This window comes from Homo sapiens, chromosome 5 (genome assembly GCF_000001405.40).
Source record: "Homo sapiens chromosome 5, GRCh38.p14 Primary Assembly".
In the NCBI taxonomy this organism is placed as follows: Eukaryota; Metazoa; Chordata; class Mammalia; order Primates; family Hominidae; genus Homo; species Homo sapiens.
This window is the reverse complement of record NC_000005.10, coordinates 81,193,549-81,215,728: the sequence shown is the minus strand read 5'-3', so window position 1 is coordinate 81,215,728 and position 22,180 is coordinate 81,193,549. Positions and strand designations below refer to the sequence as shown.

The window sequence follows — 22,180 nt, the reverse complement described above, 5'->3', positions numbered from 1 at the left end:
ATGTAGAGACAGGGCATTATGTTTACATTTAATGTTAACAACATATGGAGAAGAGGAAGTGCCTGTATCTACACATTTAGCCAAAAAGAGAGCAAAAATGTGTGGAAAGAAACACTGCAACGGATAGAAAACTTAGGCACTTAAAGAACTGACAAGTAGGCCGGGTGCAGTGGGTCACACCTGGAATCCTAGCACTTTGGGAGGCTGAGGCGGGTTGATCACCTGAGGCCAGGAGTTTGAGACCATCCTGGCTAACATGGTGAAACCCCATCTCTATTGAAAGTACAAAAATTAGTCGGGTATGGTGGCATATGCCTGTAATCCCAGCTACTCGGGAGGCTGAGGCAGGAGAATCACTTGAACCCGGGAGGCGGAGGTTGCAGTGAGCCGAGATTGCGCCACTGTATGCCAGCCTGGGCAACAGAGCGAGACTCCATCTCAAAAAAAAAAAAAAAAAAAAAGATTCTATATTCAGCATGTGCTTGTCAATTATTTTTGACAAGTGGAATTTACAGGCGCATGCCACCACATGCGGCTAACTTTTGTACTTTTAGTAGAGACAGAGTTTCACGATGTTGGCCAGGCTGGTCTCAAACTCCTGACCTCGAGTGATCTGCCCGCCTCGGCCTCCCAAAATGTGGGGATTACAGCATGAGTCACTGCACCAGGCCGAATATAGAATCTTAAAGGAGAGGTCTCATGTCAGACAGCTTTTGCGATGAACCCTTTAGAGTGTTAATCTCCAAATGACTAAAGCACATGTTTGGTTACCTTGGTATTGACTAAGCAATGTCCTCTACTACAGATCTTTTCTTTTGTGATCTTCTTCATCCATTTGTTAGAGAAGTATAACTGATAATTACTGAGAAATAACATTGTTGTTGACATTGGTCTGGGGTTTCTTCCATGAACATAGGAGAGTGGTAGGGTGGCCCTTGGGGAGGATAACCCATTCCTGGGAATACCCACATCCAGGCAGCGTGGCTGGGCATGGAGGATCCAGGTCCTGCCTGGAGAAGAACTTGGAATGCCCAGGTTGAGGGTCCTCAAACTACTTTGTCTCACCTGGAGAGGAGCTGCACAGCTTCCTGAGAGGCAAAGGGCTGTCTTCCCAGTTCTGGTGTCTGAGGGCTCTTAGAGATGGCATGCTTGGTCCAGGGCTAACCTTGCTCAAAAAAGTTTCAAAAGTACAACCTGTCCTACAGCAACAGACCAGTCTGTGGGTTCCAGAGTGCAGATTATCAGGCCTGCTGAACAACTCCCCGGCTGATCTCAGATGCAGAGAAGGGACAGCTGTACAGCGGATGTTGTCATCAAAGGTGTCTGAAGCAGGGTATATCTGCAACCAGGCCCTACCTACCATGACTGGAGTAAGGCGCTTGGCTCTAGAGACAGCCTCTCTGGGGGACAGTCCACTAGCCCATGCTAAGGCCACTGTGAGTGACCTATAATGTGACTGAAATGCTAATATTTTATTTAGAGCCTCTACAGATGGTATATTCAAATTTTGAAACAATCATTTCAATATTAGTCTCATCATCTCTATTTCATGATCAGTTCGGTTATTCCTAAACCAGCATCCTATCAAAGACAAGAATATCACTTAACTACGGAGTGGGCCTGGAAACTTTAAGATTTAGGGATCCCTTGGTGATAGCTGGTGATCCCTAGAAAGCTGGTGAAATCTGGATAAGACTGGTGGATTGCACCAATGTTCATTTCCTAGTTGTGATACTGTCTGTAGTAGTGCAAGATGCTGCTGTTGGGGGAAACTGGGTGTAAGGTGCAGGGAATCCCCGCGTTATTTCTTACAACTGCATGTGAAGCTATAATCATCTCAAAACAAAAGTTTGTTTTTTTGTTTTTTTGTTTTTAACCAGTATTTTTAAAAACTGTGGCTTTTATTTACCAGGTCCATTGTTGACAGAAAAGAGGACTTTTGAGTTCTAAGGGGCCAAATTTGGGATTCTCAGAGCACTGCATTTTTACTCTGAGAAAGGTAAGATAAAAGATAGGACTTAGGCTTGGTTTCCTGCCACATGGAGAAATTAAATTGTTCTCCTATGCTAAAGGGAAAAGCTTGGAGGGCAAAATGAAGATGGAAAAGAAATAATGAGTGTCTCTGAGAGGGGCTTAAATCCTCAGAGTAGGGTGATAAAATGAGACAGTTTTTAGGCCATGTCAGCAGAACATACCTAGATCTTCCGGTCTGGGACCCTGGAGGTGGCACTCTGTAGATTCCCCTCACCAACTCTGGGTGTTCACAGCAAGGCAGGGGAGGGTTAGGCAGAGAGGGCCTGATGTAGACCCTTCTATTCTCTGGCACCAATGGGACGTGAGAGCCTGGAAACTTCCCCTGAGGCCCTTTGAGGCCCTTTCCCCCTCGCCCCTGAGACGAGGTCAGCCAGGCTCCCTGGGTGCAATCACCATGCATTGTTCCCAGGCAGGGCAAGCAGGCCAGGTGACACCAGGTACAGGCAATTCACAGCAGCCTGTACCCAATGAATCATCAGCAAAGAATGACCACAGGAGGCCAGAGGAGCAGACAGGTGCCCAAAAGCCCAGAGATGCCCTCCAAGGCACCCAACACCCAGGGAGAAGGCCAGGAGAAAGGGCAGGGGAAGAATCATGATTTAGTTTGAATCTTGAAATTATCTGAGTGAAAATGACAGGCATAGGCAAGCTGAGATTAATGAAAGAAAATGAAAATTGTATTTCTGCACATCTAAATTATTATGCCAAAACTTTACATCTACTACAGGAATGAGCAAGAGAAAGGTGAAAAATGAGGCCTTTTGTCCCTGGCTTTTGGCCCCACAGAGTTTGCACCCTCACTCTGGGAGAGAAAGAATGGACCCACTGGACATAAGTGTGCTTGCTCAAAATCAATGTACCCTCCGAAATAATTCAGGAAACAACTCTTGACTGACAACCACATTGTTTGTGGCTGTCCCCCAAAATGCTTTAATGAATGTTTTAGAAATGCACATGAATGAAATCAATTAAGTGGTAAGAGCCCTGTAATTACCCATGTTGGCACCTTTCTTTGGCAACTGAGCGGCTCATTTCAGTTAATGATTTCCTAATTAGTAATATTTAACTTGGCTCCCATCTCCCAGCCTCTCCTCCTCTTAGCAGCAGGCTGTGTCACACGCTGAGGCTCACCTGCTTAGAGACCTTGGCCCAGGTTTTCTTCAGCCTGTAGATGGCACTTCTGTTTAAGGCCGAGGTGATCTCCAGCACGCCGTTGTAGTTGTGCAGGCATCGGCAGATGTCCGCCACTGCCACCCATTTCTCGATGGCGTTGGCACGGGAGCTGACATCAGCATAGTTCATTATCTGGGAGGCCACCAGGTTACTCATCTGAGACAATCAAAAAGCCCCGAAAGGCAGTCTAAGAGCCCCAAGCAGTGCATTTAGGCAAAATATGTAAATTATCTGCAGACCTGTCAGGAAGGCAGGGTGTTGAGTAGCTTGAAGATCATATTCTACATTTAGATACCAACTTTCTAAAGAGACTAAAGTCTATAAGAATAAACTAATGAGCATCTGTTTGTCCTTTGAGTGAACACAGGGGTTATCTGGATTCCCGCTTGTTGAGGGAAGAGATGATTTTGTTCCTCAGCAATTTTGATGGTGTCATTTCTAATAATTACTGAGGAAATGGGACAGAATAACCTAACGCCTGCGGAAAGGCAATGTCTGTAGATCATGGATGTCACTCCCTGGGGCCTTTCCCTTTACTCCTTGGCCCCCAACAGTGTGTGATTACTCACTCTGAGAAGCCACAGTTATCACAGAGAAAGAAAAAAACACTTGCCCCCAGTTAGATCAAATTCTGAGCTGATTAACTCTCAAACCAGAATCACTTGGCTGCAAGGAAAAGAACATTTTCTTCATCTTATTCTTCACCAGCAGTTAAAAGGACCTATAGTTTTGAGGCTAAGTACCGTAATTTTATTACTTAAAGCCAGTTTAAGAAGCTCAGCTCTTGTAATATGGAGAGGAAAAAAAAAGTGAAATGAGATTACCGTATTAACAAAGGGAATATAGGGCGTGTAATCTTATATCCATACACCAAGTCTGATGGATTCACCCATTCTTTGATGATTCTGAAGACACTTAAGATCTCATAGTGCCTCAACACCATCACTGTGGAAATTCGCTAAAGCACCTACTGCAGTGCTGTTCACTGAGTGCCTGCGCATCCTTAGCGTGAGGAGAGGAATTATTTGGAATCCAGTTTGTCCTGGGAAGAAGTGGTTTTGTTAATCAGTAATTTCGATGAAGAAGTTCTTGCCAATAACTATTGAGGAAATGGGATAGAATAGATTCTTTTAGGTGCTGGGAACAGAAAGACAAATAAATCCATCCCTGACCTTAAGGCAATCTGAGCCTAGGTAGGTGGGAAGGGGAGGGTCGCAGATACATAAACAGGTAAATGCCATGCAGCGAAACACAAAGTTGAGTCTATTCACGGTGGGGTTTGGGAATACACAGGCAGCATGGGGCATCTGGTCTAGTACAGAGGAGGCTTCTAGGAAGAGGTCACGCCTGCACTGAGTCTTTTTTTTTTTTTTTTCTGGAGACAGGATCTTGCTCTATTGCCCCAGGTGGAATACAGTGGCATGATTACAGCTCACCGGAGCCTCGATGTCCAGGGCTCAAGCGATCCTCTCACCTCAGCCTCCCAAGTAGCTGGGACCACAGGTGTGCACTACCATGCCTGGCTAATTTTTTGTATTTATAAAGACAGGGTCTCACTATGTTGCCCAGGCTGGTCTTGAACTCCTGGGCTAAAGCAATCCTCCCAGCTCGGCCTCCCAAAGTGCTGGGATTACAGGTGTGAGCTACAGTCTCCAGCCTTGCATTGAGTCTTAAAGGATCTAAGTATGAGAGCAAGGGGACAGAGGTGGGAGGGATGGTGTAATGGAGGACCTGGCAGCCATCTGAGGGGCACAAGGACTGGGAGAGGCAAGGGTGACAGATGGGCTGTGCTCTTGTATGACAGGTTGGGACCATATCCCTAAGGTAAGGGGAAGCCACTGACAGATTTTTGTCAAAGGGAGGTAGATAATTAGATTGACCTTTCAGAGAAGTCATTCCTGTGCCACTGCATGCAGGATGGTTTAAGGTACATGGCTGTGCTTTGGTCTAGGATAGGCCAAGGTGGACATCCGGGCCAGAGGGACTCAGTGAGTTTAGAGCACAGGTGTATAACTCCACTTGTGATCACAGCCATGTAGCCATAACACGGAAGGCCATCACTTGGCTCTAAGCCACTATTGTCTGTAAAAGGTATAATTGCCCTGTTGACACTGTACAGGAGCTCATGCCCAGAGAAAGAGTTAAGCTGCTGACCCTGAAGGCAAGTGAGAGCTGGCCACACAGCTGTGCGCGGGAGCGACTGGCTCAAGCAGCTGAGACAGAAGAGACAGCGTAAGAGAGCTGCTGATGAAAGAGCTGCTAATGAGACAGCTGCTGATGAGAGCGCCCGCTGAACAAAATCATCTTTCACCTACCTACGGCCCCCTACGTGTTCTTTCAGGCATCCACCCACTCCCCTCAGACCTCAGCATGGGCTGGAACCTGACTCTGAACCTAACAGATGGATTGGAGGGCAGTGAGGTTGCAGGGGAGAGATGAGTCAGGAGCTCCTGGAGAGACAAGGTAAAAGGCCACATCAAGGTGGTGGCAGCGGGGAAGGCAGGGTGGGGAAGAGCCTGAGATATATGTAGATTTAGAGTTTGCAAATATGTTGGGCAGTGGTAAGGGTGAGCTGGTAAGGGAGAAGATGACGTCTAGATCCTGTGCTTGGGTGAGTGAGTGTATGGTGAGGCCACTACCCAAGACTGAGAACAGAGAGGACAATGAAGAAGCAGGCTTGGCGGCTCTGGGGTGCAGATGAAAGGTTCCATCTGTAATTGTCAAGAATGCAATGTAGCAGTCGTCCCAGCAGAGGAGACATGTGGGTCTGGAGCCTGGGATCGAACCTCTCTTTGAGTGTCCATTATATCCCCTGTGTTGGTTCACCACAGGTAACAGAGGTTTGCTTCCCACAGCAGGGAATCTGTTTCTCAGGGCAGGCACTAGATGGGCCATGCCCTTGTCCTTTAGGCAGCAGCGGCACTGAAGCTCATTGTGTGGTAGCATTCACACAGCATCCACGTGCTTTGGGGAAAGCCTGCATGAAACACTGTCTTGGGAATCTAAACTGTCATTTTTGCATTTTGATTCTAGATCACTTATTAATTTACCTATGGGGTTCCTGGTAGTTTGTTGTTGTTGTTTTTAAAATCGTTATTCCTTTTACTATAGTTTAGTGAAACTGGAAGGGGAGGCTTCCCGTTGCCTGGATAGGCCAGAAGACACTCCCACACCTGTTACTTGTTCTACCACAGGACTAAGACTATGAGAACAGCACTAAGGAAGAGCGGGGAGGTATAAAAGCATCTCCCAATCTTACCGCTGGGGAAAAGCAGAGCTGTAAGATGGACTGACAGCTGGCCACTGCTGCACAGAACTATAGCAACAATGTGATTATGCTCCAAGAGGCCCCTTCCAACCCTGGAATGTAATTCAGGCTGAACGTTCAGTAATGATGAGGACTTGCACCAACCCAGCCTTACCGTGACCAACACCACCAGGGGCCAGTGACACATGTACTGCTCACTCTGTTAGTCAATATATGAACAGGAAGTAGTGATAATCATGATAAAAATAGGATCAGCAACCTGTACATTATTGAGCACTGGGTACCATCAAAGGTGAACCTTTTATGTCAGGAAGTTAATTGGACATTATTACATTACTGTGAGCTCTTAGAGATTTAAGCTTGTCGTCAATATCCCATCAATTCTGTTTAAAAGTGGGTGGCAGGCCAGGTGCGGTGGCTCACGCCTGTAATCCCAACACTTTGGGAGGCTGAGGCAGGCAGATTGCCTGAGGTCAGGAGTTCGAGACCAGTCTGGCCGACATGGTGAAACCCCTTTACTAAAAATACAAAAATATTAGCCAGGCATGATGGCATGCACCTGTAATCCCAGCTACTCGGGAGGCTGAGGCAGGGGAATTGCTTGAACCAGGGAGGTGGAGGTTGCAGTGAGCTGAGATCACGCCATTGCACTCCAGCCTGGGCGACAGAGCGAGACTCTGTCTCAAAAAAAAAAAAAAAAAAAAAAAAAAAAAAAAAAAGTGGGTGACAGAGTTGCTTTGTTTTAGAGGAGTCTTTAGACCCCAATATCCATCTTCTTGTGACACGCCCACGGTTTTACTGTTACGGTTACTCACGTCATTGAAGTGTTGGCTGGTTTTCATAATGTAAGGAGTTCTTTCGTTTTTATCCAGCTTCATCCACCCCTGCCCAAGAAACTCCCTGGAAGTTCAAAACAAAACACAAAACCAATTAAGTTTTTAAAAATATGGTGGCTATGATCCTGGACAGTTGTCACGAATATTAGAAAAATTCCATTTGACATGGCCTAGAATGGTTCCTGACACCTGCTGCTGCCAGCCTCACAAGTGAATTTTACCTCGGCTGTTGCAGTTTACCTCTCAATGCCAAAAAGGAAGATTCTTCAGCTTCCAGCTTTCTCTTATAAATGTTTGGAACTGTGTCCCTATTAGGATCCTATAAAGCCTTCTCTGAAGTTGGAAAACAAGAACCAACACAAGGGAAATAAAGAGGTTAAGTACTACCTTAGAAATCAAGACTATTTTCCCAGGATTAGCTTTTAAAAACATTAAGCCTTAGCAGAGGGTCCAAAAATTTCATCACTACCAAAAATGTTAGTCAGAAGCAGAATTTTCTCCCTCCACTCTGCGCTGCCTGCCATTCTCCTGGAGGATGCAGATTTCAAAGGCAGGGATTGCGTTTTGTTCTCCCCAGCGCTCAGGAGGGCGCAGGTGGTCAGGGCTGAAAAGCGCTCCTTTTAGGCTTGTACCGCATGTTGCCCTGACCAGGCAGTTCAGCGGGGCAGAAGCTCCACCTGGTCAGATGGGCTGTCTTCAGGGCAGCATTCCTGATCATTCACTTCATTCCTGAGCAGGTCACCAGACACAGCAAGAAACAAGGGACAAGTGAGATGCAGCATACAGGAATTATTTTGTATAGTCATTAAAAACACTCGAAATTACTCTGATACTCAGGTTGACTAAGTCCCTGGGCAGGGTTCTTTGTCCCTTGCTGTTGTTGGTCCTGCTCCCATCCTGCAGAGTGCTGGACACAGAGGCGTGCCAGTTCCATGGATGGAAACAACTGGTAGATACTCACACAGGAACTGAGGGGACAGACATACACACAACCTGCCTTAGGAATAATGTCAACTTCTAAGACAGCTAGAGCAGCCGAGCCCTGCTGCTGTGGGGGGTGGCACTCACTCGTAGGGAATGCTTCTGAAAATGACATGGTCCAGGAGGGTGATCTGTTCTGCCAGCTCCATGGCCGACAAGGACTCAAAGCATTCGGCCTTCATGCAGTCAGTCTGCAAGAGATGAGGGAGGGAAATGAAACACCCAGGAGAGGGCGCCTGCCATCTCATTGCAGGTCAGTGAGGCAGACAGCTGCATGTGTGGAAGCATGAAGTTCACCACTAAATTCTAACTATGAAAAAAATGGCAGAAAGCTAAAAGTATCAAAGCCAACATGAATATCTTAGACCAACTGCTAGACCCCACACCAAATGTGGTTCATCTCACAGAGCTTCACAGATAGGACAGAGGGCCTAATACTACAACACTCCTTGATCGGTTACAAGCATATTGCTCGCCTTGGAGAGGTAGTTTGCACATAGTTGTGCTAGATAAAAATGTGGTCAGACTTACCATTTGAATTATATCCTCTAATTTTAGGTGGATGTCATCTTGGTCATCTTGTGAAAGGGCCCTGAAAAAGATATCAAATTATCCTCCATGAAAGAAAAAATAGACAACCTAGGAACAAAACTACAAATGCAGTTTGGTTTTCCCTGGATGGGAGGTCTGAGGATTTGGGTCTACAAGGCCATGCAGCACAACCAACTGCTGAGCTGGAGATGAGCAATCCCCAAACAGAAAACATGCTCAAGGCATGAGAGAATCATCAGGACAGCTGATTTAGAACAAAAAGGCAACCTGTTACATACAAGGTTGTAAATGAAACAACCACCGTCACAGTGAGTCTGAGGGTGAGCTGGGTGAGCTCTGAGTTACCATCCATAATGTAAAATGGAGCATCCTCTAATGCTATCAGCCAGTTGGACTCCTAGGCCTGAGTGCCCTCCTCCCCACACCTCTATCCCCTACCGTGGGCTTTCCCTGCCCTCACAGAGGCAGGAGACGCAGGGCCACCCCTTTCTCAAGCTTACGTAGACCAGAAGCACAGGGGGTTCCTATGTGGCAAGACTCTGAACAATGCCAGGCAGGAGCCAGCAGATAGCTTCTTCCCCCTTGCATTCCAGATGGACTTTCCTCAGACACTTTTGGCCCTGAATCTCATACATGTTATTCAGCTCTCAATAAATATCTTTTAAAAAAATAAATGATGAATGAATGAATGAGTGAATGAATAAACACAAGTTAATACCTTAAATACTGGTTTCAGAGTAGAGGGTATTTTTGTGCAACAGACGTTCAGAGTCCAGGAAAACTGGAGTCCAGTAGGCATCCAATTACATAATTTGCCATTGGAGCCAGGCATTTTATGTTTTCCAAAAGGAAGGCACAAGCACATACTCAAAGCATTAAAATAGTAGGAGGGCAGATCATGAGGTCAGGAGATCGAGACCATCCTGGCTAACACGGTGAAACCCTGCCTCTACTAAAAATACAAAAAATTAGCTGGGCAGGTGGCGGGCACTTGTAGTCCCAGCTACTCGGGAGGCTGAGGCAGGAGAATGGCGTGAACCAAGGAGGCAGAGCTTGCAGTGAGCCGAGATAGCGCCACTGCACTCCAGCCTGGGCGACAGAGCAAGACTCAAGTCTCAAAAATAAATAAATAAAATAAAACAAAATAAAATAGTTAAACGGTCCCAAACCATGTACTCTGCTGGAGGAAGCTACTTTTAGTAAAAGGCGAAAGATTTATGCGATATGAAGAGAAACTAGAGTAAGAGGAAGCTACTTTTAAAAGAAGTAATGATGATGTGATGTTCTGTTGTGTTCTGAGTTGATTAAAACAACAGCCACAACCCTCAAAAACATAATATCAACAGAGATGGCTTCCTGTATGCCCGCTCTATGCCAGGCATGTGCTAAACATTTGACATGCACTATCTCCTGTATCCTAACAGATCCCTTCCAAGGGATTGTTATACAGGACAGCAGATAATGCAGGCATTGTGATCTCCGTTTTACAGATAAGGAAACAAAAGCTCAAAGACACTGACTAAGTTGCTCAGGGTTGTGGGCCCTTCCTTTACTCTGCGCTTCTCTTAAGCAGGCTCAGGGAAGGCACCTCTTCAAGGGTCCCACACACAGCACACAGTCAATAAACACAACTCCCTTCCCTCGGCTGTCTGAAGGGGGAGCAGGAGCCTTCTAGATTATACTAGTAGCAGCCCTCTTATCGGCACTTAGCCATATTATTTGTGAGTAGAAAGAAATAGTCATTTTATCTTAAAGGGCAGATTAAGATGAGGAAAAAATAAGTTAAAGCTAACTCTTTCTCCAAAGCCTATTAAATTACATGTAAGGGTTACACATGGGAGATAAAAGTGACTTTTCCGAAAGTGCACATCATCTTTTCCACCATTCTAGGTTCCTGGAGAGAGATCTGTGGCTCCATAATTATGTGTACCAGTGGGAAAGATCTTTTTATGAAGCTGGGTAATATCTTTCCCTTGGAAAGAAAAAGTCAAAAAGTTAGTTAGCTCCCATCAAATGTTCCTCTTCTCAATGATCTTACCCTCATTTTCCAAGAGGCACTCTGGTGCCATTAAGTTACCTAACATTTTATGCCTTCCTGTTGATGCTATGTGGGGTTTGAGGATGACTTTTCTATGACCTGAGCCCATCACAGTTGAACATCCAAGAAGTTAATCACTATTTCTTTTTATTTTGTGGCATGTTGGGTATCTAGAAAAACTCTACACTGAATAGATTTTGAAGACAGCTAGTTAGACAACTTTGGAGGAGGAGAGATGGTATTTTAGAAATATAAGTTTTGAGTACAGGTTTTTATTTACAAACAGGGCAACAAACTATATATGGCAATTAAGTGTATTCATCATACACTTAATTGTGACCCCTGTGAGACTGTGAGTCAGGGAGGCTTCATTCAAAAGAGCATTTGCTTTATTGCATTAATGTAACCTATGCATGAAAACATGTTTTATGTTCATATCTCTTAGATGTCAGGAATGCATATAAATCTCTAAATGTCAGGGCTGCACTTAACCACCATATGATATGTTTTTTATCTCTCACAGTCATAGCCTGTGTTTTCTAGAGGGCATGGTTCAGAATTCTTTCCCTTCAGATGTGGAGGCCTCTGCACTTCTGGTTCAGTTCCAATAGAGAAAAGATTTGCTTCTAGTCTTCTGGCGATGCTTGGGCATTGATGAACATTCCAGGATCCTGGGTTCCCCACCACCATCACTACCACGTCTATCAGCAGTATCACCAGTTTAATAATTGTGCATTTATAATGACACACCAAATAAAAGGAAATGGGATTATCCAAGCTGTATGAATAGAAAATTCCTCTTTCAATTAGGGTAGTCCAAAAACAGAGCCACAAGCAACCAGTGTCTGTCCTGGGATTGGTCCACACTGTCTTTGTGTGGAAAAGGTGACGAAGCCTAAAGAAAGTTGAGTTGACTAAGATCCAGCCTGGTTTCACTTGGGCCATATGGCCTTAACGGCAGAAACTACTTTTTCCAGGAACTACTGTCAGTGCTTCTAACAGTAATAATACTCACTTTACTACGAGTGCTAATGACTTTTCAGGCATTGTGTTAACCTCCTTACACATTTCACATCATGTACTCTTCACAACAACCTAATGAAGTAGCTATTATGAGTCCCACTTTATAAATGAGGAAACAGGTTTGGACCGGTTGAGAACTTGACATCCATAAATGGCCGAGCCAAGATTTAGCCTTGTGACATCCTGCAAAAGGTAGAATCAGACTCTGCTCAGTGTTGTAGTTTCAAGCTCTACTGCCTACTAAAATTTCTGTTCCCTATCAATCTTACACTGCTAACTCTCAGGTCATTATTCAGCAGAAAGAATTGGCACATCTGAAGCCTGATGAATAATCAAGACCTGGGATGGCAAACAGGATTCATCTTAAGAACCAACTCCAACTGACTGACGTCTGAGGTCACCTCTTGGTGCAGAGAGAAAGCTCTCAGAATTGATGGGTAAAGTCTGGCATGGGCGTCTTGAGGGGATTGGCAACAAAAGGCCCTCATACTGGTTGATCCTGACAGTTTTTCCCAGCCTGAACACCCTCACTTCCCTGATAGCTATTTAGTCAAATATCCCTAGGGGCACAAACTTCCTGAATCTAGTTTTTAAATATTAGTGTTTTAAATGCAAAGAGCATAACAAACTAGTTATGAAGAGAAAAGAAACAGTAATCACTCAGAGTCCCTCATGCACTGAAATCAGGCTTCACCTCAATATGTACTTACAATTTTAAAATCTGAAAACAGACACAGTAGTGGAATCCCTGGGCTTACTTAGATGTTTTCATAGAATGGAAAAAGTGAAGAAGGCCCCTAACTGTTTCCTAGGGCTGCCTTAATAAAATCCCACAAACTGGGTGGCTTAAAACAACAGAAATGTATTGTCTCACCTTCCAGACAGAGGTCTGTAATCGAACAGTCAGCAGGGCTATGCTGCCTCTGAATCCTGGAGGGGAACCCTCCCTTGCCTTTTTAGCTGCTGGTGGTTTGCCAGCGATCTTTGGCTTTCTTTGGCTTGCAGCTGCATAACTCAGTCTCTGCCTCCATCTTCAGATGGCATTGTCTGTGTCTGTCTTCCATGGTTGACTTCTTATAAGGACACCAATCAAAGTGGATTGGGGTCCACCCTACTCCAATACCTCCACCCTACTCCAGTACCTCATCTTAACTGATTACACTGGCAATGGCCTTATTTCCAAATGAGGTCCATTTTGAGGTATGGGAGGCTAGGACTTCAATATATCTTTTAGGGGGTAGGGAGATACAATTCTACCTGTAAGAGACCCTACACCAAAGAACGGTCTGGCTATGGGATCTTCAGCTAATGGGGGCTAAGAAAGACTTACAGGCCAGTTGCTAACACATCACAAACCAACATCTGGTGTTGCTGCATCAGGGAAGGACTTGCAAAAACATGGACTGAGCTAAAATAGACTGCCTGTGGATGACACAAACATTCTGGATAACATGTAACAAGGAGACAATGCAGCCAAGCTTCGAGGAAAGGAAGGGTCATTTCTAGAGGTTGTAAATGAAGAGGGAACTAGAAATGAGAGTGGTAAAGAAGTACCAGACCCTGGCAGAGAGATGCTGGGCTTCCCATCCCCAAGCACGGACAGAGGACGTACTTATGAGTGAGCTGGGAAGCTGCAACTGAAATGTCTGCACAAAGCTAGCAATGGCTGCCCTTTCCACATAGAGTGGACAAAAAAAAAATCCACCCACCAGTTCAAGAAGCTATAAGAAAGCTTGTTACCCACTTGGATACTGGGTGCAACAACTATGGACACAATCTCTAGCAGTACACCCAAAGTTGAAGCCTTTATCACATAGAAGTGTGGAGTCATACCTTATACAATCCCCCATAGTCATACCACCTACGTGATGTGGAAATCCTAAACTGACAAGCTGTAGAAAAGCTGGTCGAGGACCAGTGAAATGAGCCAAAGAAAATTCCTAACTACTCTGTGATGTCACATCCACATTTTAGGTGCACGAGACTCCCACAGACACAACCACACTCACAAACATGAGCTTACAATAAACAATTACAACCCACAGGAGGAAACATCATCTCTCTTTGATGCCTGCCGGACTTGCAGGAGAGGCTCCTCAAGGGTTCCTTTCTTTAACTGTTGGTTCTATAGTAAACCGCTGTCTGCCTCCATAAATAACAGCAACTGCACTCCACACGAGTTATACCACCCCGTCCCGAGTCTTCCTGAGACAGCAGACCCCAAATTGCCCCCAGGAAAGAGAAGATAATACATAACACTTTACTGCTGAGAACATAGTCCCCACTGTCCCCAGGATTCTAAGATTTATTGGCTCTTATTTTCTATGAACATAGCAGGAATCAACCAATGTCATCCAGTCGGCATCTTCAGCTGCCTTCACCTGAGGATATTCGCGGCGGCTTTCCTTTCTTGGGGAAGAAGGTCTGGGTCTCGCAAAACTTCTTCTAGCAAATTTAGGACATTCATCTTTAGTTCATTGTTGAGTTCGAAATCCTGTAAAATAAAATGAATCTTTTTAAATTTTAGCTTTGAAAGGGTTAGCTCTATGACACATGACACCATTCTCCATGATAAATTCTCTAGAAGCTAGGTATGGAAATTAAAATGTATGGACCCTAGAGTTCCCTGCCACACCTAGGGTCCCGATTTAATTGGTTAGGAATGGTGGTCTGTTATTGGTAGTTCTGACAGGCTCCCCTGGGGGCTCCCCAGGGGGTGCAAATGTGCAGTCAGTGTTGAGAACAACTGCCTCTAGGAACAGCCATTGGGAAGGGTCCTTAACAGAGCTTACGAGGCCCTGGCCCACCCCTCCAGCCTCTTCTCTCACACTGCTTGCATCCCTGTGGCCTGCAACACGTACCACGCCCCCAACACACACCACGCCCCCAACACACTCACACTGTCCTAGACTTAACAAATGCCTTCAGTTCCTCAAGAGATATGTGCTTCTCATAGCCTGGAACACTATGCCGCCTCCATACATGTATTTCTATTCATATTTTGGGCCTAGGAGATGATATGCACTCTCCCTGGAGTCTTCTTAATTCACCCAGTGGGATTGGGAGCTTTTCTTTGTGCACCCACGGCACACGTAACTCACGGCTGTCAACTCCCTGTATTCCATTGAAAGGGCCAATTTAATTGCCTGGCTTTTTTCTGGACCATGAGTAAGATCAGTAACTGTGACATACCAGTATCTCAAAGAATATTTGCTGCAAGAATAAAATCTGTCATTTAAGCAGTAACTTGAATGAAAATATGCTAAGGCTATCAATATCTATATCTACATCAATATAGATATGCTAAGAGCTAAAGAATGACACAGACTAATGGGGCCACATCGAATGAACATAGAAGTGAGATTGAAGAGGCACCCACTGGGGAAAGTTGGGACAATATGAGCATCAAAATGAATAATGAGAGTAATAAGCAATAACCAGTTTAATAAGAAGAACCTGTAAGTCCCTATCGATATTGATGCTCACAAAGACAGACAGATTTTAAAAAGGTAGAAAATAAAACTATTCTTCTTCTTTTTTTTTTTTTTTTTAAATCACAGGGTCTCTCTCTGTCACCCAGGCTGGAGTGCAGTGGTGTGATCATAGCTCACTGCAGCCTCAAATTCCTGGGCTCAAGGGGGTCCCCCACCTCAGCCTCCCAAGTAGCTGGGACTACAGGTGTGTGCCACCATGCCCAGCCAATTTTTAAATTTTTTGTAGAGACAGGGTCTTGCCATGTTGCCCAGGCTGGTCTCAAGCTCCTGGGCTCAAGTGACCCTCCCATCTCAGCCTCCCGAAGTGCTGGGATTACGACCGTGAGCCACTGCACCCAGCCTAAAGCTATTCTTTATAGTAGAATTCCAAATAGTAGATGCAAAGAAATAAATGAGTTAGAAAATCACCATTTTCTTTTTTTTTTTTTTTTTGAGATGGAGTCTCACTCTGTCACCCGGGCTGGAGTGCAGTGACGTGATCTCGGCTCACTGCAACCTCCGCTTCCCGGGTTCAAGTGATTCTCCTGTCTCAGCCTCCTGAGCAGCTGGGATTACAGGTGTGTGCCACCACGCCTGGCTAATTTTTGGATTTTTAGTAGATACAGGGTTTCACCATGTTGGCCAGGCTGGTCTCAAACTCCTAACCTCAAGTAACCTGCCTGCCTTGGCCTCCCAAAGTGCTGGGAGCCACCGCACAGGCATGAGACACTGCACCCGGCAAAAAATCACCATTTTCAACCAAAGCAGTAATCACTGATTCAGGCAAGGATCATGACTGAATGCTAAAATGGTTGAATGAAGTGTATTAGAGAACAGAATTAACAGTGTCAGAGTACACCTCAGAGATTACTTATTAATTACAAAGGGAGAATCTGGCAGATAACACCTTACCCCAAGTGATCAAAGTTACCATCCCCCATGATGGAAGAAACCAACATCATATGTCTACTAATGTAATGCTCTGTAATGTAATACATCCTTAGTATTTCTGCCTAAAATGCATAAATTGATCTAATTTTGAAGAAGCATTGGCCTGTACTCTTCAGAAATGTCAGTGTCATAAACAACAGAGACAAACTGAGGAACTCTTCCAGCTCAAAGGACACCAAAGGGATAACAGCTAAATGCAACCTGTGAACCTGGAGTCAAGAGGCGAATGCTTTAAAAGGGCATTACTATGACAACTGGCAAAAATGGAATCAGGACTATGCACTAGTAGAGAGCATTCTGCCAATCTGAAATTTTCCTGAATTTGATCATTTTACTGTTGGCTGTCTAAGAGCAGGTTCTTCACTTATACACTATTGGTGGGAATGCAAATTAGTTCAGTCCCTGTGGAAAGCAGTTTGGAGATTTCTCAAAGAACTAAAAATAGAACTACCATTTGACTCAGCAATCCCTGGGTATATACCCAAAGGAAAATAAATTGCTCTACCAAAAAGAGACATATACTTGCATGTTCATTGCTGCATTATTCATAATAGCAAAGACACAGAATCAACCTAGGTGCCCATCAACGGTGCATTAGATAAAGAAAATGCGGTATACATACACCATGGAATACTATGCAGCCTTAAAAAACGAAATCATGGGCCAGGTGCGGTGGCTCACGCCTGTAATCCCAGCATTTTGGGAGGCTGAGGCGGGCGGATCATGAGGTCAGGAGATCGAGACCATCCTGGCTAACACGGTGAAACCCCGTCTCTACTAAAAATATAAAAAATTTGCTGGGTATGGTGGCAGTCACCTGTAATCCCAGCTACTCTGGAGGCTGAGGCAGGAGAATGGTGTGAACCCGGCAGGCGGAGCTTGCCGTGAGCCAAGATCGCGCCACTGCACTCCAGCCTGGGTGACAGAGCGAGACTCCGTCTCAAAAAAAAAAAAAATCATGTTCTATAAAGCAACATGGATGAAGATACAGGCCATTATCCTAAGCAAACTAATGCAGAAACAGAAAACCAAATATCACATGTTTTCACTTATAAGTGGGAGCTAAATCTTCGGTTCACGTGGACATAAAGATGGCGACAGTGGACACTGGGGACTCCAAAAGGAGGGAGGGAGGTGGGGGCAAGGGCTGGAAAACTTCCTGTTGTATACTATATTCACTATCTGGGTGATGAGATCAATAAAGCCCAAATCTCAGCGCCACACAAAACCTGCACATGTATCCCCTGAACTAAAATAAAAATGCAATTAAAAAAAAAATAACAGGTTTTTGTTCTTGGAGGGAGTCTGGGGAGAGAGAGAGAGAGAATACACGTTAAACATGTGAATGATTTCTGAGGGATTCTAGATGTGTATCAGTGTACTTTCTTTTATTCTGGCAATTTTTCTCTCAAAAAATTTTCAAGGTAAATGTTGGGAAAAAAAGAACAAAAAGGTAGAATTGTGTCTCTTTCATTACTTAATTAAATGTATCCTTATAAAACACGTGCAGGCAGCAGAGAGGAATTGTTAGGTATTCAGAGATGAACTGAACACTGCAAAGTCCTGCTTTTGAGGATCTTACTCTGATAGACTATATCTTTATATGTACAGACATGAGTGTTTATTTTCCCCCATATAAAGTTACTTATTATAATTACATTTTAACTTTCAGGAAAGTAATTTTGAAGCACTGACATTCTGAATCCTTTTAAATGATTGGAGAGAACATTGTTAATTGCAACGAATCAGGTAAAAAGAAAAGAGCAAGATTTTACTATATTTGGTAAAAACAATTAACAAGATCATAATTTCACAAATTGTAGACAATGCAAGTCTAATCTAATTTGAATTTAGTATTTTTGTACCTCAGTTGGGTGGCAGATGGTGTAATAAGTTATTCCCAATATTTTACTTTTTTTTTTTTTTTTTTTTTTTTTGAGACGGAGTCTCGCTCTGTCGCCCAGGCCGGATTGCGGACTGCAGTGGCGCAATCTCGGCTCACTGCAAGCTCCGCTTCCCGGGTTCACGCCATTCTCCTGCCTCAGCCTCCCGAGTAGCTGGGACTACAGGCGCCCGCCACCGCGCCCGGCTAATTTTTTGTATTTTTAGTAGAGACGGGGTTTCACCTTGTTAGCCAGGATGGTCTCGATCTCCTGACCTCATGATCCACCCGCCTCGGCCTCCCAAAGTGCTGGGATTACAGGCGTGAGCCACCGCGCCCGGCCAATATTTTACTTTTCACTGTTTGACCATAGTCCCAATTCTTCAGAAACAAGAGCCACTGGGGCCCAGGAGCAACATAGATGTCAATATCTCATCAATATTAAGGCTTCAGATGATGTTTTCCTAAAATTTCACCTATTTATTGCCAAACACCTTTTTGCTATTAGTTTTTTAAAATGTACATAAAGAGAAGAGAGTAATAGTTTGCCAGTGTTCTTTCCTTTGGTTCCACTCTCTCCCTCATTTCAAGGTAAAGGGATGTTTGTAAACGGTTAATGCTCTCACTTTCATCAATCTTTGTGCACTACATTCTCAGCCATCAGGACTTTATTTCCTTAATGAATATTTCACATATATTAGTGAGACAACTGAGTCCTCATGTAGCTATGTCAGGTCTCTAATGATACAAATAATCTGATTATCATAAATGCACGATTAGTGTGAAGGATATCAGGTTACTGTTTAGACCGTGCTGAGGGTCAATTAGTGGTTTGATCAACCGGCATTAGTGAGTACCTACTGTGCCCCATACTGGGCTCAACGGGGGAGGGGGGAGTGGGGTGGGGGACGCTTCTGGGGCCCCAGGATGGCAAATGTGGGAAAGGTCTTGTTAAGAAAAGCATAATGTAATTTTATTATTTTGAACTCTGGGAAGACTGGTCTGAGAGGGACCTTTGAAGGACTTAATGAAATCTGCCAAGACACTATTTGAAGCATGACAAATGGTCGCAGTTGAATAGTTGCTTTGCTGCTGATGATATAAATCAGACTCTGATATAATGCAAAGCAGAATCTCTGATAGTGGAGTATGAAATGGAAGAATTTTTGCCATCCATAATTTTCACTTACATTTGCACAGGTTTTTACAATGTACAAAGTGACCTTTAGTATATAATTTTTTGTTGTTATTTGTTTGTTTTTGAGACAGAGTTTCACTCTATTGCCCAGGCTGGAGTGTGGCACAATCTGGGCTCACTGTAGCCTCTGCCTCCCAGGTTCAATGGATTCTCACACCTCAGCCTCCCGAGCAGCTGTGACTACAGGTGCACACCACCACGCCCAGCTAATTTTTGTATTTTTTGTAGAGATGGGGTTTCGCCATGTTGGCCAGGCTGGTCTCGAACTCCTGACTTCAAATGATCTGCCCTTCTTGGCCTCCCAAAGTGCTGCAGTTACACGCGTGAGCCACGGTGCCCGGCCGTGTATAAAATTTTAATCCTTCCTTAGCTGACCCAGCATCAGACAAGTCAGGAACCATAATCTCATGGTCTCCCGTCACATATCGGCCACACAGGCTGAAGAGAGGTGATCACATGGGCTGAGATGAGAAGCATGGGGAAATGGAGGGGCTGGGACAAGAACACCAGTCCTTCTGACTCCTTCGTAGTCCTTTATACTTGCCCTTCTCAAACTGTCATGTGCACAGGGCTCACTAGGGGTTGTGGCTAAAATTAGATTCTGATTCAGGGGATCTGGAACAGAGATAAGGATTCTGCATTTCCAACAAGCTCCCGGGTGATGCTGATGCTGCTGGCCCGGGGTCCACCTTTTGAGTAGCAAGACCTTACATTACCTTTGTTTATCTATCAAAAAAAAAAAAAAGGTCACAAAAAAAAAATCTCAAGAAGTAAAAGAAATCTAGATCTTCTGATGTACTACCTAGAATGATTTTATTTTTTACAAATGCATGTAAAATACAGAATTGGTCATTCAAAAGTCCCTGTTGAAAATACAGTAGCTGCTCCTCAATAGAAAGAAATCTAAAGCAGCAAAAAGACATTTGCCCTATTTAAATCCAGAGATAAGTGATTCCTAATGTCTGGCTGACAGCTATGTTGTAATTGTCCGGCATGTAATTATTGGCTACATTTCCCCAAGTCCTGAAACGGTGGAATAAGACGTACCCGAGCGCCTTCTCGGAGGCAGCAATCGAGGCGCCCACAAGATGGCGCTCCCGGGTCAGCATTGGCTCTGGCGCGGGCCCCTGGGTGGAGCCCGCAGGCCTGGAGGAGGGATGTCGCCTGCCCATGTTTATGACACGAAGCCGCACGAAGCCTCATGCGCCAGGAGAGCGAATCCATGGCACCCAAGAGACCCCGAGGTACTTATTGAAGTTATCAAAGCAACAGCGTCTAATTTAGTTTTTGTTTTCCAATTCCTGAAGCAGGGATGTGGAGAGAGAGGATTCGAACGAAGAAACCGCCCTGCTCTCAAAGGTGGCGCACTCAGAAAATGCAAGACGTTTATATTTCATTCTCTGAAAAGGAGCCCATAGCTCTTGTTCCTTCAAAAAGAATTACTGAGTAACTCAACAAACAACGCTCTGCAGTGGAGGCGGAGCAGCAGACTTCTGGGTGGGTTTGCACATGAAAGAAACATTAACAAAAGAAACCAAGAGAGGCTTGAGGAGGGCGTCCATCTGCAAGGGGCCCCCCTTGGGGACGCCCTACTGACCCTTAGGAGAGGCTGGGCCTGGAAACTGAGGTCCAGAAACCACCTGCAAAAAGCGGGTAGTTCTGGCCAGGAACAAGACAAAAACTGTCAAGGGATGGAGTGTGGCACCCAGCACACGCTTAGGAGCAAAACACTGTCCACCGATGATGCCAGAGTCTTCCAAGGGAGAGATGCTATTGTGAGATGAGTCTATTTTACCAAAATTGTATTGACTCTACTCAACATGTTCATAAATAATTAGGAAAATTAGCATTTTACCTGGATCAGTTAAAAAAAAAAAGAACAAAAAACAAAAAACAAACAAAATCCTAAAGTAATTGTAAGTAAGACAGTGAGAGGTTGCCCCATGCTAGGTAATTTTTTTTTGAGACAGAGTCTCACTCTGTCACCCAGGCTGGAGTGCAATGGTGTGATCATGGCTCACTGCAGTCTTGACCTCCTGGGCTCAAGGGATTCCCGCCACCTCGGCCTCCCAAGTAGCTGGGACTACAGGCACATGCTACCATGCCCAGCTAATTTTTAAGATTTTTTTTTTTTTTTTTTAGAGATGGGGCTCTCTCTATGCTGCCCAGGCTGGTCTCCAACTCCTGGGTTCAAGCAATCCACCTGCCTTGGCCTCCCGAAATGCTGGGATTACAGATGTGATCCACCACACCTGGCCACATTTTAGCTACTTTATTATCTCATTTAATCGTCAATAGCAATACTGCAACATATTTACTATCATGATTTCCATTTTGCATATGGGGAAGTCCAGGTACAGAAAATCTAGGTATCTTATCCAAGGTCAGACAGTTAGCAAGTGGCAGGCCCATGACTTAGATCCAGGCTAAACTCTTGGCTAAAGCCTGAGTTTTTAAACTGCTTTTCTAACCACTCAACCTCTTGAGATAAAGCAACTATCGAGCTGGGCACGGTAGCTCATGCCAGTAATCCCAGCACTACGGGAGGCTGAGGCGGGTGAATCTACCTGAGGTCAGGAGTTCAAGACCAGCCTGACCAACATGGTGAAACCCCATCTCTATTAAAAAATACGAAAATTAGCTGGGCATGGTGGTGGGCGCCTGTAATCCCAGCTACGCAGGAGGCTGAGGCAGGAAAAGCACTTGAACTCAGGAGGCAGAGGTTGCAGTGAGCCGAGATCGTGCCATTGCACTCCAGCCTGGGTGACAGA

The 22,180-nt window shown here is 44.8% G+C and overlaps 1 protein-coding gene and 1 long non-coding RNA gene across 6 annotated transcripts in view, besides 1 other annotated feature; one reads left to right on the top strand and one right to left on the bottom strand.

The window, feature by feature from the left end:
* The window catches only part of RASGRF2 (Ras protein specific guanine nucleotide releasing factor 2), a 269,800-nt gene that overhangs the window by 14,434 nt on the left and 233,186 nt on the right, over positions 1-22,180 (bottom strand). For all 5 annotated transcript variants that reach the window (NM_006909.3, XM_047417464.1, XM_047417463.1 and 2 more), the window contains 5 exons: positions 14,287-14,399; positions 8,824-8,884; positions 8,380-8,483; positions 7,291-7,375; positions 3,166-3,363 (listed from right to left, as the gene is read on the bottom strand). In NM_006909.3, the coding sequence (NP_008840.1) occupies positions 3,166-3,363; positions 7,291-7,375; positions 8,380-8,483; positions 8,824-8,884; positions 14,287-14,399 (561 nt within the window). The remainder of the gene's footprint in view (positions 1-3,165; positions 3,364-7,290; positions 7,376-8,379; positions 8,484-8,823; positions 8,885-14,286; positions 14,400-22,180) is intronic.
* Positions 3,132-3,191: an enhancer, noted in NCBI's record as "active region_22730". NCBI's record gives its function as "activates an Ori minimal core promoter by ATAC-STARR-seq in GM12878 lymphoblastoid cells {active_cell/tissue: GM12878}" and the evidence as "EXISTENCE:reporter gene assay evidence [ECO:0000049][PMID:35858748]".
* Positions 4,791-9,518, top strand: LOC124901017 (uncharacterized). Its single transcript, XR_007058842.1, has 2 exons — positions 4,791-5,670; positions 6,319-9,518. It is a non-coding gene; the product is annotated as an uncharacterized LOC124901017 (long non-coding RNA).